This window comes from Homo sapiens, chromosome 9 (genome assembly GCF_000001405.40).
Source record: "Homo sapiens chromosome 9, GRCh38.p14 Primary Assembly".
NCBI classification, from domain to species: domain Eukaryota; kingdom Metazoa; phylum Chordata; class Mammalia; order Primates; family Hominidae; genus Homo; species Homo sapiens.
In genome coordinates this window covers 107,724,292-107,742,465 of record NC_000009.12, presented here as the reverse complement: position 1 = coordinate 107,742,465, position 18,174 = coordinate 107,724,292, and the positions used below count along the sequence as shown (strand labels likewise).

At 45.4% G+C, this 18,174-nt stretch overlaps 2 long non-coding RNA genes across 3 annotated transcripts in view, besides 3 other annotated features; one reads left to right on the top strand and one right to left on the bottom strand.

Annotated features, from left to right (window-relative positions):
* The window catches only part of LOC105376208 (uncharacterized), a 78,157-nt gene extending 70,490 nt beyond the window's left edge, over positions 1 to 7,667 (bottom strand). For both annotated transcript variants that reach the window (XR_930229.2, XR_930228.2), the window contains exon 1: positions 7,574 to 7,667. This is a non-coding gene — a long non-coding RNA (uncharacterized LOC105376208). The remainder of the gene's footprint in view (positions 1 to 7,573) is intronic.
* Positions 2,641 to 3,141: an enhancer, noted in NCBI's record as "H3K4me1 hESC enhancer chr9:110501606-110502106 (GRCh37/hg19 assembly coordinates)". NCBI's record gives its function as "activates a minimal SCP1, AML or CMV promoter by ChIP-STARR-seq in primed H9 embryonic stem cells {active_cell/tissue: H9 hESC(primed)}" and the evidence as "EXISTENCE:reporter gene assay evidence [ECO:0000049][PMID:30033119]".
* Positions 3,271 to 3,770: an enhancer, noted in NCBI's record as "H3K27ac hESC enhancer chr9:110500977-110501476 (GRCh37/hg19 assembly coordinates)". NCBI's record gives its function as "activates a minimal SCP1, AML or CMV promoter by ChIP-STARR-seq in primed H9 embryonic stem cells {active_cell/tissue: H9 hESC(primed)}" and the evidence as "EXISTENCE:reporter gene assay evidence [ECO:0000049][PMID:30033119]".
* Positions 3,771 to 4,272: an enhancer, noted in NCBI's record as "H3K27ac hESC enhancer chr9:110500475-110500976 (GRCh37/hg19 assembly coordinates)". NCBI's record gives its function as "activates a minimal SCP1, AML or CMV promoter by ChIP-STARR-seq in primed H9 embryonic stem cells {active_cell/tissue: H9 hESC(primed)}" and the evidence as "EXISTENCE:reporter gene assay evidence [ECO:0000049][PMID:30033119]".
* Positions 7,668 to 7,983: 316 nt separating the features above from the next.
* LOC124902242 (uncharacterized) lies at positions 7,984 to 9,103 on the top strand. Its single transcript, XR_007061719.1, has 2 exons — positions 7,984 to 8,061; positions 8,652 to 9,103. It is a non-coding gene; the product is annotated as an uncharacterized LOC124902242 (long non-coding RNA).
* The last annotated feature ends 9,071 nt before the right edge of the window (positions 9,104 to 18,174 follow it).

Sequence of the window (18,174 nt, the reverse complement as noted above, 5' to 3'; positions counted from 1 at the left end):
TGATGGGAGCTGACAGCAACCCTCCTAGCACAAATGAGGTGCTTTGAAAATGGTAGCTGCTTGAGCAGCTTATCAAGTTCTGGAGCAGTTAGATGGAAGCAGAAGAGATTGGCCCTCAGTAAGTAGCAACTGGCACCAGGCACTGTATTTTCTCATTTAATTCTCATGCTAACCCTGGAGCTATGTCTTCATAGCTCCACTTCGTAGACAAGTAAATTGAGGCTTAGAAATAACTTGATCCAAGTTGCAGGAGTAGAAAGTGGCAGCGCTGGAATGAAACCAGGTTTTTCTGACCCCAAGCCTCTTTCCCATGACAGCCCCTGCCTCTCTGGAAAGGGAGATCTGGGTCTCCGTGTTGACAAGCCTGCGGCCTGCAGACCTTGCCCACAGCACTATGCCAGGCATGGGGAGGGGGACTGAGTTCTGACCAGGAAGGCAACGCAGGGAGAAAATGCAGAATGAGGACAACAGCAAGTGGCATCGAGGAGCTGGGAGCAGGGAGGCGCAGAGGGCACGGCACAAATGTGATCTGTGAATCTGTGCAAAAGGGCTTTGGACATCCAGGCCACACAAATGCCAGGCACTAACTCCCCTCACCTCTTTGGAAGTCAGGAAGACTCTACACAGGAGGGACCTCTGAAATCCAGATAAATTGAGGGAGTAAAGGAATAATAACAAAAATCAGAGCTGCCATTGATAAATTACCTATGCCGTCCAGATATTCCACTAGGTACTGTAAATACATCATTGCATTTAATTCTCACAACTCCAAGAGGTGAGAGTTATGATTCCCATTTTACACTTGAGAAAATTGGGGCTCAGGTCAGGTCACTGACCCATAGCTGGCAAGTGGCAGAGTCAGAATTTGCACTCACATTTGACTGATTCCAGTGACTGCCCTATTCATAAGCCCCAAAGGCTACAGATACCGGCAGATTATGCACATGAGGAAAGCAGGGTGGGCTTAATAGGAAGAGGTGGAGAGAGCAGAAAACCCCAGAGCATGTGCTTCATCTAAAGGGGCAGCTGCTCCTCAGCTTCAGCCAATTCTTGCCATTTGAGAATGTGGATCCAGTGTGGCCAGATCTTTCCATGTCAAGATAAGCCAGAAATCATTTATATTTCTGGGTGTAAAATCTGATTTTTAAATACTGGAGAATAATGTTTAAATTGTTTAAACACATAGAAAACTAAACAAGTCCTGTCTGAAAGACAGATATGGCCTCAGGTCAACATTTTGCAATCTCTGTTCCGCAATGTGGGGTGGCAGAGGGCACCCCATCCCTAGAGATGTCAAGCATATTCTGAACAACAGACCCCAGGGGATGGTGGAGAAGCAACTGGAGGGGATGCTGCTGAGGACGGACCTGGTAACCTTTAAGATTCCTTCAAAGGTTTGAGACCAGCCTGGCCAACATGGTGAAACCCTGTCTGTACTAAAAAAATTAAAAAATTAGCCAGATATGGTGGCGGGCACCTGTAATCCCAGCTTCTTGGGAGGCTGAGACTTGAGACTCACTTGAACCTGGGAGGCGGAGGTTGCAGTGAGCCAAGATCACCCCACTGCACTCCAGCATGGGGCTACAAAGTGAGACTCTGTCTTAAAAAAAAAAAAAAAAAAAAAAAGATTCCTCCAAAGCTTGAGACTGCATGAATCCAGGAATTGGCAGAGTGGAGATGGGCGGGATCCCTAAGCAAGGCAAACACTATGAGCAGAGGCGTGGAGCCAGGAACAGTCCTTTTGTCTTCATTCACTCCCTATTCTGAAAGCCTTCATGTCTTCCCCCTGTCTCCTCATTTTGGTGATGGCTCTGCCCTAAATCCCTGGCCTAACCATCAGTTGCAATGGCTCCAGGGAAAGGCACCCTCACCGCTTCCTAGACCTGCCTCCAGATCTCTCTCCACCTGCCTCAGCCCTGCCTCTCCTCTCTGAGCCACCTCTCCAAACTCTCATCTTATGTGTAATTTTAGCTACCCAACCCAGGTGACCCAGACGATGGTGGCCTGCCATTTGTCTTTTCTCTTCCAGATAATCCACATGCCCCAAATATTTATTCCCCAAGTACTCATTGCACCCCCACTATCCGTAGAGCTCTGTGCTAGGCATGTAGGGTGCCGCTGGGAACAAGACAGATGCCATTGTCTAGTCCAGTGCTGGCCATGCGGGGACTGCTCAGCAAAGACTTTTGCTAAATGGAAACAAGTGATGATAAAGTGGAAAGACTTTTGACCTCCCCCATCTCTCTGGCTTCAAGACCCTGCATCTCTTCACCCTACAGACACCCAGTCCTGTCGATCCTACTTCCTTACTATCTCTCCCAGGCATTCAAGGAGGCACAGTGGGGAAAAGCCCTGAGGACCCGAGAAGAAGGTAGTTACAGGTGGCATCTTTTCTTTTTTTTTTTTAATGTTCTCACTCCCCCACCCACCATGGCAAAGGTCCCACTTGCAGACACACTCCTCCTGAAGTTGGAAGCTGGCCTTGCCTCTGCCATGGCAGGCAGCCCTGAGTCAGCTGCCAGGACCTGGGGTGGAGTACAAATAGCCCCAGGCCCCTTCAGGCAGACCAAGAGCCAGCAACTCACCCCCTGGGCACCCAGCCAGGCTTCCTTCAAGCCAGGGCCTGAGCACATGGACCCTAATCGGCGAAACCCCCCACCCTTCCTTTGCAAACACCCTTGTGGTCAGCTCAGGGCGGGCCGACAGGCAGAGCTGATCTCCCCCGTGCTCCCTGAAAGCCTCCACACTGAAGGAGCTGGCGCAGGACCGCTCAACCCCGGCCAAGAGCAGCCCGGCCATCTGAGAAGGGCTGGGAGCTGCCCTCTGGACAAGGAGCGGAGCTCCGGGATCTGAATAGGACGCTGACTCTGGTGGACTCCCGCCTGCATGTCCTCCAGTCCTCTGCTCAAAGGCCTGCTCCCACCTACTGCGATTACACACATACACCCCAGCACTCCTGTTTATGCCCCTTATCATGCTTTATTTTTTTATAGGATTAAAAAAAATTTTGTTTTGCCATTTGGCATATCATAATGTATATTATTCATTTGTGGGAAATTCACTAGGATGAAAGTTCTATGAGGACAGCAATCTTTTTGTTCTATTCCCTACTATATCCCATTTCTAGCTGCTAATAGGTGCTCAGTAAACATTTGAAGGAGGAGGAAGGAAAAGAAGGAAGAAAGGGAGGGTGGGAGGGAGAATCTTTAGAGAGGGTAGGTCTGGTTAGCCTTCTTCTCTTCCCGGCTGGCATCTCTCCTTCAGAACTACCCCAGACTGGTGGCCTTATAACCTTTTGGAGAAATGACTTTAGCAGCCACTTTTTAAACTTCCATTTATCCCATTTATCTGGGGCTCACTCTGTGTCAGGCAGTACAGATAGATGATCTCACTTGATCTTCTCAACAACTCTGAGGTCTGTGTCATTGCTTTGACTCAGGCTTTCTCAACCTCAGCCCTAGTGACAATCGAAGCCGACAGGTCCCTATTGTGGAGGGCTGTGCTGTGCATTGCAGGACATGTGGCAGCATCCCTGGCCCCAACCCACCAGATACCACCAGTACCCTTACTCCTAGTGTGACAACCAAAAATGTCTCCAGACATTGCTAAGTGTCCCTTGGGGTGGCAGGCAAAATTGCTTCATTTGAGAACCTCTGTGTTAACTCCACAAAGGGGGAAACAGGCTCAGAGAAGCTAAGGAAGTTGCTGGAGGCCATGACAGAGGAAGGAATCCCACCTAGGTCTGCCTTGCTTCAAAGCCAGCGTTCCCTCCGTTCTGCCAGGCCATCCTCCCTCGGCAGGCAGGGCTCACGGTCCAGGGAACTGTTACTGAGAGGCCTCTGCCCAGCCTCTGCCCAGCCCCTGCCTGTGTCCCAACGACGACAGAGCAAGGCCCCTGACGTGCGAGAAGAGCCTTCCCCAGCAGCCGCCGCTGAGTTTAAGGCCAAGCAGCTTGAAAAACACTTACTCATACCCTGGCCATGACGGGGAAACATCACGAATGATAAATCATATCTCTTAATTATCTGTGATTTCTGAGGCCGGCCAAAATTTCCTTTTCATGACAAATATTTGCTCTGAGATTTCTTTTCCCCTGAAAAAGAGAAGCAATGCAAGGAGATCCCTGGGGCTGGTCTCCCAAGTGGGAATCCCAGCATCTCTGATCAGCCCTCTTGTCCCACCCAAGCTGTCTGGAGCTAGGTTCCTGCCTGGGCATGCCTCTTCCCTCCACGCTCCAAGTAGTAAAATCCCCAGGTTTCTGTTTTGTTTTGTGTTTTTCGTTTTCTTGGAAGGGTGCCTGAATTGGAGATGTTTACTCACTTAAATGAGACCTATTTGAAATTACTCTGAGGGCGGGAGGAAGACAGAAAATAAAAGGGCATAGGGCCCAGGGTGAAAAGGCCAGGGTTCGAGTCAACTTGAAACTGCTGCAGGAAAATTTACCCCACTAGTCTAGCACCTCTTGGCATGATAAGGAGAGTGCCCAGTCTTCTCAGCCCCCATAACTTCTGGCCCTTCACCCTGCGGGGCTCCTTCTAGCTTCATCTTCCCCACTCTTCCCTTAGGGTGAGCCCCTTTACTAGCTTTTAAATACGATTTTTCACAGGTTTTTGTCTTTGCAGTGAATGCTTTTCCCTATTTTCTGCCCATAAAACTCCTATTCCTCTTCCGTAACCCAATATAAATGTCCCTTTCTTTGCCAATCCTTGCCCCACCCCGGGTAGAATTCATCTCTCCCTCTCCATGATTCCTCAGTAGTTTACACAGACATCAGTTTTACTTGGTTTATACTCTCTTGGAGATATGCATGTACCAGGCCTCTGGAGTCCAGGGGAAAAGCTGAGTGGGCGACCAGAGCAAGCCAACCGCCACTGGAGACAGAAAAAGACATTCAGGTTTTTTCGCTCCAGGGCTTTCCTGTCCACCCAGCTTGGTTTTCCCTGGTCCACTAACATGTATGACTGTCCTGGGCGCATCTGCTAGAACAAATTGCAGAGGAGCTTTGCAGCAGTCAGAAACTCTGATCCTATTTTGTTCTACATTCTGAAGCAGGTGACATGGGCCACCACATTCTTCTCTCTTTTCCTTCCTTCCTTCCTTTCTTCCTTTTCTTTCTTTTCTTTTCTTTTCTTTTTTTTTTTTTTTTGGCAGAGTCTTGCTCTGTTGCCCAGGCTGGAGTACAGTGGCATGATCTCAGATCACTATAGCCTCAACCTCCTGGGCCCAAGCAATCCTCCCACCTCAGCCTCCTGAGTAGCTAGGACTGCAGCCATGCACCACCATTCTCAGTTATTTTTTAATTTTTGTAGAAATGGGGTTTTGCTATGTTGCCCAGGCTGCTCTCAAACTTCTGAGCTCAAGGGATCCTCCTGCCTCAGCCCCTCAAAGTGCTGGGATTACAGCCACGCACCACCATGTCAGCCAGGCCACCACCACTTTCTATGAGAATATTCTGGGTTCTGGTTACACTCACGTGCCATTGTCATGAAGCTAGGCTCATTGAAGGCACTTGACCATAGTCCATCTCAATCTCTCTCCTCTTGGCATAAAAATATGGAGTGAGCAGAGTGGGGTGCCTGGTCCTGGCTGAAAGAAAGCAGAGAGCTGATATCCATCTCTGCAGGTCAGCCTCCCACTACAAATTCACAGCCACCCTACTGACTACCCACGAGCTCTGCTGAGACTCAAGGATGCTTCTCTTCTGCTCCAGTCCTAGTGATGAGGGAAGAGCAGGTCAAAAGGCCTGCCTCAGCCACCCAGAGCCAGCTCCTGCCCTTCAACAAATCCTGAAGTGCCACAGCTTATACCCAGAGAGTACCATCATACTTCCTTTGACTTGCACTGCCAATGAGAACCAGCATCTGTGGTCCCTTGCAGAAGCTGGGTTGCAGTTGGTCTGCAGAGCTCTGCTTGGCAGGCAGGCATGATGTGCGTCTGCTGGAGGTAGCACAGTGAGGCACCCTTACTCCATTATCTCCCCAATGTCCTGAGTTTATAAAACAGCAAATAGATCTGGAATGTCACCCCAGTACAATCATTCAGAAAGTGGCTTCAGGACCCACCCAGGGATTACCAGACTGTTATGTTTTAATTAACGGCAGGAGATGAGACCAAGGATGAGGGTGGGTCAGTAACTTAAGGATAGGCAGCAGCAAGCATTCAATGTGAAAGTTAGGAGTTTGGTTGTTAATTCTTTAGACAGTTTGCAGCCAGAAGCAAATTCTGACCTGTCTCAGAAGCTCACCCAGCCGCAAGTGGAAGACACACTTCCAAGGGGGCAATGCTGGAAGCCAGGAGGTAAGAGAAGGGCTGTTGCTGCTGCCATTAGGAGAACTGCCAGAGCCTGAGTTGCTGAACTGCAGAAACTGGGAGGAAGGAGCAAATTCAAAAAGCCTGAAATCCATAAAATCAACAGGACTTGGTCATTTATTAGACTGGTGGTTAAACAGAAAGAGTCATCAAGATGGGTGCCCAGGATTAGGTAACTAGGTGGGTGGTGATAGCATTAGCCAGGGCAAGGAATCAAGCACACAGGACCATTTGTTGGAGACAGAGGAGGTGGGGAGGACAACAGAGAGGTCAAGCATGTTGCTTTGGGTCTATTGAGTTAAAGGCCCCTGGCAACATCCAAGTGAATATGAATGTATGGGCCTAACCTCAGGGAAGAAGTTGAGGATGAAAATACAGCATAGAAGTTGTTAAATCTATAGAAAAAGATGCATCTGCCTAAGGAGAGTGTATGGATACAGAAAAGAGGAGACCTGCAACAGAGCCCTGTGAACTTGCAGCCAGTCAAGAAAGTCAAGAGAAGAGCGAATCATGCAGAGAAGAAAAGACACTCAGCAAGGTAAGAGGCAGAGGTAGGAGACAAGGTGGGATTCTCATTAGAACTGAGTTAAAAGCAGCCAGTACAGCACCTGGCACATACAAGGTGTCCTCAATATTGGCAATTTTCTACCCAACTGGCAGGAATGTGAACAATAGTAACCGTCATTGAGTTATTGAACTCTTTTTTGTTTTCTTTTTTGTGACAGGGTCTTGCTCTGTCATCCCGGCTGGAGTGCAGTGGTGCAAACAGGTCTCACTACAGCCTCTACTTTCTGGGCTCAAGAGATCCTCCTACCTCAGCCTCCCAAGTAGCTGGGACCACAGGTGCATGCCAGCATGCTTAGCTAATTTTTTTATTTTTTATAGAGATGGGAGTCTCACGATGTTCCCCAGGCTGTCTCAAACTCCTGTGCTCGAACAATCCTCCCCACCTTGGCCTCCCAAAGTGCTGGGATTACAGGTGTGAGCCACCGTGCCCAGCCGTATAGAACTCTTACAAGGCCAAATACTAAGCATTTTCCCTGAATAGCTTATGCATCCTTCATAGCCTATTACTGTTATGCCTATTTTCAAGATAAAAGGAATGAAGCACAAAGACGTTCATAAGTGTAGGTAACACCCTAGTCTATAGATGGAGAAGCCGAGCCCAGGGTGACAATGCACAGTTCATTTCAGATAAGTGGCCTCTGAGCACATGGTAAAGAAGCAAGCACAGTCCGCAGGCCCAAACCCCTGCTCCACCTACCAGTTGCTGCTGCCTCTGCAGATTTTCTCCGGCCCTGCTGGGGCGTCCAGAGCACTCAGCACCAAACTGTACAGCACATCTTGACTCCAAGTCAAAGGGCCTAAAAAAAAAAAAAAAAAAAGCCTCCAAGATCTCCTGGCTGCCAAATTGTGATTGCAAAACTACTGATGATTTAACTGTAAATGAATCTGAAACATACGGACTGAATTTCTCTTGAACTACGCATTAAAATGCTCGTTTGATGAAAATAAAGGCCCTGTTGAAAAATTGTAAAGAAAAAAAGAAGGAAAAAACAAGGTGGTAAATATGTGAGATTCAAGGGGGTATGGAAAGTGAGGAGCTGGCAGAGAGAGAACACTTTTGACATCCCCTAAGTGCAAGGCAAGTGAGAGATTTTACAAGGGGACTGTGAATTTCTTCTGCCTCTCCAAGGGGATACAGCTTTGCTGGCCCTGACAGCCATGTGGGGGTGTCCAATGACTGCTGAGGTATGGCAGCTTAAGAAAGAGGAAACTCTATATACGAGATGCTTATGTGCGTCTGTGTGTGTGTATCTGTGTGTGTGTGTGCAGGTAACTGGAAAAGCTGGAAAAGGAGAAATATATATATACATATATATACATATATACATATATATACAGTGTGTGTGTACGTGTGTATATATCTATTTATATGAACCATCTTCGCTGTATTTAGATATAAAGATATATAAATATATTTAGGAGCTGGAAATACATAGATATATAGATATCTTGAGAAATAACCATTCTATGTATAAAATTTAAAGTGATAAATGTAAATATTATACTTACTTTATGTACAAATAATGTCAAGCTTAGATGTTTCATATATTCAGAATATGCATATTCTAGAAATATCTATGTTAAATATATACGCTAAGTATATATCTTTAAAATATATGTAATATATCTAGTTAAATATATCCATGTGTATTCCAAAACCCCAAAAGGAAGGACAATGTGCAGGAGAGCAATGGGTGCTCACAACCCTGACCTAGCTCCAATCTGATTCCCTGGTTGCTGGGAAAAAGCCAAAAATCACTGTTGGTATTTTTTAGGAGCTGTGCTTCCAGTGGCCTCTGGTCCAGTCTGTTCAACTCAAGATGGTATGAGCAGCGGGCTCCGTCAGCAGGCCTGAGCTGGACACACGTGACACCAGTCACCATGCAGAACAAGGAGTTCCTGCCCTTGAAACCCACAGGTCATCAACATCTTTGCATCTGGCCTCTTCTACGACTGGGTATTTTCCAATCATCCACTGCCTGCAACTTCTCTCCCGGAAGTCACAGTTGCCAACTGAAAACTTCCAAAGGGGTGAAGAGAAACCCCTCTCTGAACCTAAATAAAAACAGAGATCACCTTTGCCAGAGAAAGGGCGCCTGCTCAGAAGCTCTGATTTCAAATTATGAAGAGCACAGAGCCACAGTCCAGGCTTAGGAGTGACGCTGGTAAATGGTGGTGGTGGTTTCACTTTGTGTTTTTCCTCCCCAGTAAATTCTACTATCCTGTTTTATTTTCCTTCCTCCTCCAACCCTTTGGTGCTGTTAGGAAATAGTTTTGGGAAACACTTGTTCAAAACACAACAGCAGAAAACGGGTAAGCTGCCAGTAAGTTTTTCAAAAGAACTATTTGGCAGCCCTGAAACAGATTACAACGCTGGTACAAACCTTGACTGACTGCAGGGTTACAGATGTCAGAATCGTGTGTCTTCAGAAATATGCACAACAACAACTGGATTCCCTGTCATAATGCCTGGCCCTACCAACATTGCAAAATGCTGGCCGGCAGAGAGGACAGAAACCATTCGGTCACAGCCTTTTTCCTGAGTAATAGTGGGGTCCTGCAAGCTACAACTCAGTTGTCAATAGGACTGGAAATTCCTTGACTAAACTCATATAAACTGGACCTTTCCATGCATGTCTCTGTCAAAAATGACTTTCTTTTAAGAGAGATCAGTCAGCAGAAGGGAATGGGAATCTGTGCCAAGGCCGCAAAGGGATGAATACACACTGCCAGAAATCTGCCAGTGCTCCTGGCACAAGGCAAGAATTAACCCTTGACAGGGTGCAGGAAGTGAGATAATCCACTGCCAAGGTCCAGAACTCTGATGTGGGAGGGAGACCGCATTAGTTCAAACCTCGGCTCTGAAACTTACTTGTTATGGGGACAACTGAACCTCTCCATGTATCAGTTGCCCCTCCTGTAAAATTGGCATGATAATAATTGTCACTGTATCATAAAGACAGTCTGAGAATTAAATGGGTAAACATGAGAAGGACTTGGTACAATCCCTGATATATAGTAAGTTCTCACTAGATAGTAGTTATTATTTGTGTTGCTTTTTTGTTGCTGTTAGTTTCAGCTCACTACAATTAAGAAGCTACAAAATATGCTTTGCCTGAATTGGCACTAGCAAAAATTTAAGTACAAGAAGTACAAATTCACGTACAAGAAGTGTGTACGTGAATCCTTCTCCTAAGTACCACAGGGATATTTATTCACGATGGTGACTCCACCCAAAATCGCCCTATGCTCATTTCAACTACTTAACTAATTCATTGATTGATTGATTGATTCCTAATCATTTAACATTAGCATGGAGGGATAGCTACTTGAGGAAGATGCAGTTCCTGCTCTGACAGGATTCTTAGTCTACTTGAAGAGATAAACATGGACAGAATGATGACACAAGACACAGTCACTCACATTCTAAATAGGAGGACCCTCAGAAGCCAGAAGAAACACAGGTCCACTGGGTGGCTACTTGTCAATTCTGGCTCTCGAAAGGCACCTTTTCCGACACTTCCTCCCACCCTCAGCCTGGTGTGCACCTGCTTTCCTCAAGCACCCACAGCCTGCAGCTGCACTCCTCAGCCACTGTGTCTCCTCCTCTGGATTGGATACTCCCTGAAGGCATGGCTGCTCCCAGTCTTGTCTACTATTGTGTTCCCAGTGCTAGCTTACAATCCTCATTCAGAGAATGAATATATGAATGATGAGACAGAGAACGAAGAAGGGAATAAGGTAGAGTAGACTGAAGATGATAATTCTGGATTATCCGCAAGAGACCTGTTAGGAGGCAGTAATGCTGGCCTTGGACAACATGATCTGCATAGTCAAAAGACCTCAAGCAGAGAAACAACTGTCTACCTTTAGGCACACAATCAGTCTGTCTTCACCATGAAGACATGTGTCAGTGCTGAGATCTGAGAATCCCCAGGGTGAGCTAGCACTCGGCCAGAGAGCTGCTGAGCTGGAGGTGAACCTGTACCATGTTAGAGTGACAAGTATTGATGTAATAACAGTGCCAATTGCCCATGGAAATGGGCCATCAGGAAACTGGCATAAGCATGACCCATACAAAGTAGCCTCTTAGCTTCATTTTTAGAATCTACCTCCCAGCCTTTCAGCCAGTGGATACCCAAAACAGAACAGGAAAGGAAAGCAATGTTGATAATTAGAGTTCCATGATATTGCCTGTACTATTTCCTTTACATACAGCGTTGGAAGGTAACTAGTATTATTTCTATTTTATAGCTAGGGATCTTGCGGATCAGAGAGGGCAAGTAACTTGTCTAATGACACACAGCTACTAAAACTCGAGGATGGGACTTGAGCCCAGATTTTCTGACTTCAAAATCCATGCTCTTGCTTTTGAATCACGCTGTCCCTCTTCTCTTACGTATTATGATGGACTCACTCTAACTCCCATCACAAGGCATTTGTTTCTCAAAGGAAATCACAAACTGCTTATTTCACTATCATTTGGCAACTGCACACAGTTCTTCAGGGAAACTGGGGAGCCCGGGATGAAAATTCCACCCATGGATTATCTTAAATTGCTTGTGTTTCCTTGAAAAATGCCTGGCACTACCAACAGCTCTGGTATGGTTTCCAGCAGTGACCAGAGCCTTGTTCAACAAGGACGCTCTGATAATTGATTGGCTGTGCTCTTCCTAACATTTGACACCAACAGATGCTATGAATCTGAAGCTGCCATCTGTTCATGACACTCAGGTTTATGGGGGCCTCCAGGGCTTCAACCAGCCTGAAGAATCAGCCTTGGGTCCATTAGGGCACTGCCATGGCAAATCCAAAGCACTGGAGGAATGCTAGCTTCCCAGTGGGAAAGCCTTGGCAGGCTTTGGGATCCTGGGTGTGCCCAACTGCAGAGTGGAAGACAAAGGCTTCTAACAAAGAGGTTGATCCCCAAAAGACACCAAGTGTGTAACAGATGGAAGAGTATTTAGGTGGGTCAATGAGAGCAAGGTAGCAGGAAAAATACCAGCTTTGACCTCCCTTGAGAGACCAGGGAAATGGGGACTCTGCATCTCATGCCCACTGAGCACATCATGCCAGCCACTGAGCTGGACACTTTACACAATCATCTCTAGTGCTCACAGCAGCTCTTTGAAGTTGGAATGACTATCTCCATTTTACAGATGAGAAAACTGAGAATCACAAAGTGAGTTGTCCCAGGTAGTCAACCTCCTATACTATACTCTATGCTAGAGCAAGGACCATGGCTGGTTTTTGCTCAGCTCCGGATTCTATACCTAGCATCAGGCATCAGGACCAGCTACATAATTTGTAGGCCTTAATGCAAAATGAAAATACAGGGTTTCAGGGCTGTTTTTGTTTTGTTTTGTTTCGTTTTGCTTTTTTTAGAAAGGATCTTGTTTGACACCCAGGCTGGAGTGCAATGGCATGATCATAGCTCAGTGCAGCCTTGAACTCTTAGTCTCAAGCAGATCCTCCCATCTCAGCCTCCCAACTAGCTGGGTCTACAGACATAAGCCACACCATGCGTGGCTATTTTTTATTTCTCGTAGAGATGGGGTCTCACTGTGTTGCTCAGGCTGGTCTCTAACTCCTGAGATCAAGCAATCCTCCAGCTTTGGCCTTCCAAAGTGCTAGAATTACAGGCATGAGCCACCATGCCCAGTGGAAATGCAGGGTTTCTTGTCTAACAATTACTAAGAATTTCAAGATGGTAACAGTAGATCATTAAATCAAGCCTGGGACCTTCTGAGAGATAGCTGTGCTCCCATGTTTATCGCAGCACTGTTCACAATAGCCAAGATGTAAAATCCACGCAAGTGTCCATCAACAGATGAATGGTTGAAGTAAATGTGCTACATATACACAATGGAATATTACTCATCCTTAAAAAGGAAATGATATCCTGTCACTTGCAACAACATGGATGGAACTGCAGGTCATCATGTTAAGTGAAATAAGCCCGATACAGAAAAACAAATATTGCATGTTCTCACACATATGTTTGAGACAAAAAAGTGGATCTCATGGAGGTGGAGAGTAGAATGGTGGTTACCAGAGGCTGGGAAGGGTGATGTGTGTTGGGAGGGGGAAGACGAGAAATTGTTTAATGGGTATAAAAATACAATTAGAGGCTGGGCGCAGTGGCTCACACCTGTAATCCCAGCACTTTGGGAGGCCAGGGCGGGTGGATAACCTGAAGTCAGGAGTTCGAGACCAGCCTGGCCAACATGGTGAAACCCCATCTCTAGTGAAAATACAAAAATTAGCTGGGCACAGTGGTGGGCACCTGTAATCCCAGCTACTCAGGAGGCTGAGGCAGAAGAATTGCTTGAACCCGGGAGGTGGAGGTTACAGTGAGCCGAGATTGTGCCACTGCACTCCAGCCTGCGTGACAGAGCAAGACTCCGTCTATGAAAATAATAATAATAATAATACAATTAGATAGTCCAGAAGTGTTGGCTCAGGTCTGTAATTCCAGCACTTTGGGAGACTGACACAGCCAGATCATTTGAGGTCAGGAGTTTGAGACCAGCCTGGCCAATATGGTGAAACCCTGTCTCCACTAAAAATACAAATATTAGCTGGGCATGGTGGTGCATGCCTATAATCCCAACTACTCAGGAGGCTGAGATGGGAGAGTCGCTTGAACCCAGGAGACGGGGGTTGCAGTGAGCCGAGATTGTGCCACTGAACTCCAGCCTGGGTGACAAAGCGAGACTCCATCTCAAAAAAAAAAAAAATTAGATAGAATGAATAACTTCTAATATTCGACAGTGCAGTAGGGAAGTTATAGTTAACAATAGTTTGGAACAATGGTATATTCCAAAATAGCTAGAAGTGAAGAATTGTAATGCTCTCAACACAAAGAAAAGTTAAACATTTGAAATCATGGATGTCCTAATTACCTTAAGTTGATTGTTACACATTGTATGCATGTATCAAAATACCACATGTACCCCCAAAATAAGTACAACTATGATATATCAGTTTTAAAAATGCAAAAAAAGCACATGCAGGAACCCCCCACATGTGGAGTCCTGTGTAACTGCAGAAGTCATGTGCCCATGACACCAACCCTGCCCAGCACCATTTTTAGCACATAATAGCTTACAAATAAGAAGCCTACGGAATAAATGAATGACGAACAATAAAACTGAAAACTAGGTCTGTCTGTTAGATCTCAAATCCTGTCTAGATCTTCGCATCATTCTTTGCCGCCTTCTCCCTAAGTATAATCTCCCTGGTCCCAGTTTTTTTTTTTTTTACTCTGTTAAGAGGTCAGAGCAAAAGAAATGTCAAAACAATGAATGAGAAAGCATTTTAAAATGACGATATTCTGCAAAACATTCCTGGTTTTTCATTTTGTTTTGTTTCAGATATAGGTCTTACTGTGGCTACGTTGCCCAGGCTGGAGTACAGTGGCACAATCATAGCTCATGGCCTCAAACTCCTGGGCTCAAGTGATTCTCCTGCCTCAGCCTCCCAAGTAACTGGGACTACAGGCACACCCCACCATGCCTGGCTAAAATATTATTTTTAAAATGTCTCATTTCCAAGTTTTTCATGTTACCTTAGGTCATGACCCTAGTCAGAAGAAGAGGTGGCATAGGATGAGTGCATATCACCCTGAAATCTAGTAGAGTCCCCTTTAGCTCCCTGACACACAGTACCAACCAGATCCAGAGAGGGGCCTGCTAGCTGTGCACTCCCTTCTCCATCAGCAGCACTGATGATACCTTCTAACCTCCTGCAACTCATCCCGGCACTATTGCTAGCATGGTGCTTCTGTGCTAATGTTTTAAAAGCCCCTTTTTGTCTCCAGGTGGATACAACACTCAAGCACTGGAGTGCAGCGGCATGACCATAGCTCACTGCAGCCTTGAACTCCTAGGCTCAAGCAGATCCTCCCATCTTAGCCTCCCAAGTAGCTGGGACTACAGGCATGAGCCACCATGCTCGGCTATTTTTTATTTCTTGTAGTGATGACTAAGTGGCCTCAGGAACCCAGAGCCTAATTACTGTTCTAGGAGCCAAAAGCACTGGCAATGCTGTTGAATGAATCTGCCTACAATCTGAGGGAGAATGGAGTAAGGGGCAGAGAGAAAATGTTGACAAGGGATGTCAGTTGATAGCTAAGGTTCCTCAGTTACAAGCAATGTGAACCGACCTTCTTGTTCAGGCACAGAACAATGGAGGACTGGAGTGGGGGCAGCTTACAGGAAGGATTCAGTGTTGCTCACAGAATCCAAGGAAGACCAAAACAACAGGCGTTGGGAGAATGCAGGAGCCAGAGAAACTCACAGAAGCTCTGGAAACTTCTCTCTAAGCAGCATTTTTAGACTATTGGTTTAGCTCATTCATGAGTCATGAAATGAATTTAGTGAGTTACCCTCAGTGTTTTCTTTATTATTAAATACAGAGATGAGAAAGAAAGGGAAACGGGAAATGGGAAAGAGAAGGAAAGGGAGGAAAGAGAAAAAGGAGAGGAAAGAAGGAGAGAAGAGAAGAAAACAAGAAAGAAAAGGGGATGGAAGAGAAGTGAAAGAGAAAGAAAAAGTCCAGGCATGGTGGCTCATGCCTGTAATTCAAGCACTTTGAGAGGCCGAGGTGGGCGGATCACAAGGTCAGGAGTTTGAGATCAGCCTGGCCAACATAGTGAAACCCAGTATCTACTAAAAATACAAAAATTAGCCGGGCATGGTGGTGCGCACCTGTAATCCCAGCTAGCTACTCAGGAGGCTGAGCTAGGCGAATCGCTTGAACCTGGGAGGCGGAGGTTGAGGTGAGCTGAGATCGTGCCACTGCACTCCAGCCTGGGTGACAGAGCGAGACTCCATCTCAAAAAAAAAAAAGGCCAGGCACAGTGGTTCACACCTGTAATCCCAGCACTTTGGGAGGCCAAGGCGGGCAGATCACGAGGTCAGGAGATCGAGACCATCCTGGCTAACACGGTGAAACCCCATCTCTACTAAAAAAAAAACAAAAAAATTAGCCAGGCGTGGTGGCAGGCACCTGTAGTCCCAGCTACTCGGGAGGCTGAGGCAGGAGAATGGCATGAACCCAGGAAGCAGAGCTTGCAGTGAGCTGAGATCACACCACTGCACTCCAGCCTGAGTGATAGAGCGAGACTCCATCTCGAAAAACAGAACAAAACAAAACAAAAACCAAAAAAAGAGAGGAGAGGAGAGTAACACCAATCTCCAAAAATGTGTGCGATGAAACCACAAATTTTCTAGTTATCAGTACTACATCTAGCAGGTAAGAATATCTATCAGCATATGTAAACAAAACATTCTGCTTTCTTGAGAAGAAATTTACTAATTAATCGATGTCTTAAACAAACAAACAAAAAACCTATCCAGGGCAACATGAAGAAACCCTGTCGCTGCAAAAAATCAGAACTTAGCCAGGCGTGGTGGCACACACCTGTAGTACCAGCTACTAGAGAGGCTGAGATGGGAGGATCACTTAAGCCTGAAAGTTTGGGGCTCCAGAGTGAGCTATGATTGCCACTGCACTCCAGCCTGGGAGACAGAGTGAGACCCTGTCTCAAAACAAAACGAAACAACAACAACAAAAAGGCCTGGAGTAAAAAGAATGTGGATTTGAAATTGAAATTGGAAAACTAGACTCTACCTCCAGGCCCTACCCCTCACAAGTTGGATGACCTTAGGCAATCACATACTCTCATTACACCTCAATATCTACATAAATGAAATGGAAATAGCACCACATTACCCTAAAGAGTTCTGGTTAAAACTAGACAAGATAATGATGCAAAACATCTAGCATGGAGCCTGGCACCTCATGGGCACACAATATATGCCAGTTCCATATGAATATCACCTGTTACTCTGTAGTGGAAATATAGCTCTTGCATCAGAAAAAAACACCTAAAATACAATCCTGCACTAAATAGACACCCGTGATGTGGCATTTCTTTTGCACAAAGTTGTGGTCTGCTTTGTAGGCAACAGTGAAATACCCATTGGCTTATGGACACTCTATGAGACAACAATTCCAGCCCTGGTCATACACACACATTTGCTCATGCCCCCCACTTGCCTCTAATCTGGTTTCTCTCAAGTGAATAATATCTGCCTTGGCCTAACCTCTTTGTTGCTATGCATACAACCACAGAAAACACTGTTAATACCGAAGCATCCTAGATCTTTCCCGGCACCGTGTATCAAATGGAAGGATTTCTTCCAAAGTCAAAGTTCACCTCACATCTGATGAGTCAACAGGATCCAAATTTTCCTTGGACTTATATTGTACTGCTCAAGTTGCTTGTGTGCATTTATGTAACTTTGCTAGAAACAGTTCACCAATTTCCTCAGACTTTAATTTTTAATTAATTGTTTTTGTATTTCAAATTTTTGAATTTTATTTCTAACTTTTCTGGGTTCATAGTGCGTGTATATATTTATGGGGTACGTGAGATGTTTTGAATCAGGCATGTGATGTGCAATAAGCACATCATAAAGAATGGAGTATTCATCCCCTCAAGCATTTTCCTTTGTGTTACAAACAATTCAATTACATTGTTATTTTAAAATATATAATTAAGTTATTATTGACTATAGTCAACCTGTTGTGCTATCAAATAGTAGGTCTTATTTATTCTTTCTATTTTTTTTTGTATCCATTAACCATTTTCCAACCCCTACTACCCTTCCAAGCTTCTGGTAACCAACCTTCTACTCTCTATGTTTATGAGTTCAATGTTTTGATTTTTAGATCCCAAAGTAAGTGAGAACATGTGATGTTTGTCTTTCTGTGTCTGGTTTATTTCACTTAACATAAATCCTTCCATTTCCATCCATGTTGTTGCAAATGACAGAATATAATTCCTTTTTATGGCTGAATAGTACTCCATTGTGTATAAGTACCACATTTTCTTTGTCCATTCATCTATTGATGGACACTTACATTGCTCCAAATTTTGGCTATTGTGAACAGTGCTGCAACAAACATGAGAGTGCAGATATCTCTTCAACAGCCTGATTTCCTTTCTTTTGGATATATACCCAGTAGTGGGACTGCTGGATCATATGGTAGCTCAATTTTTAGTTTTTTGAGGAACCTCCAAACTGTTCCCCATAGTTGTGCTAATTTACATTCCCACCAACAGGGCATAAGGGTTCCCTTTTCTCCACATCCTTGCCAGCATTTGTTATTGCCTGCCTTTCTTTAGACTTTTTATATGTCAAATAAATCATCTGGGGCTCCCCACAGTCCCCCTCCATTGGCAAAGACGAGCAGGAATCCTCTTTGAAAGGTGTCTAAAATGTCTTT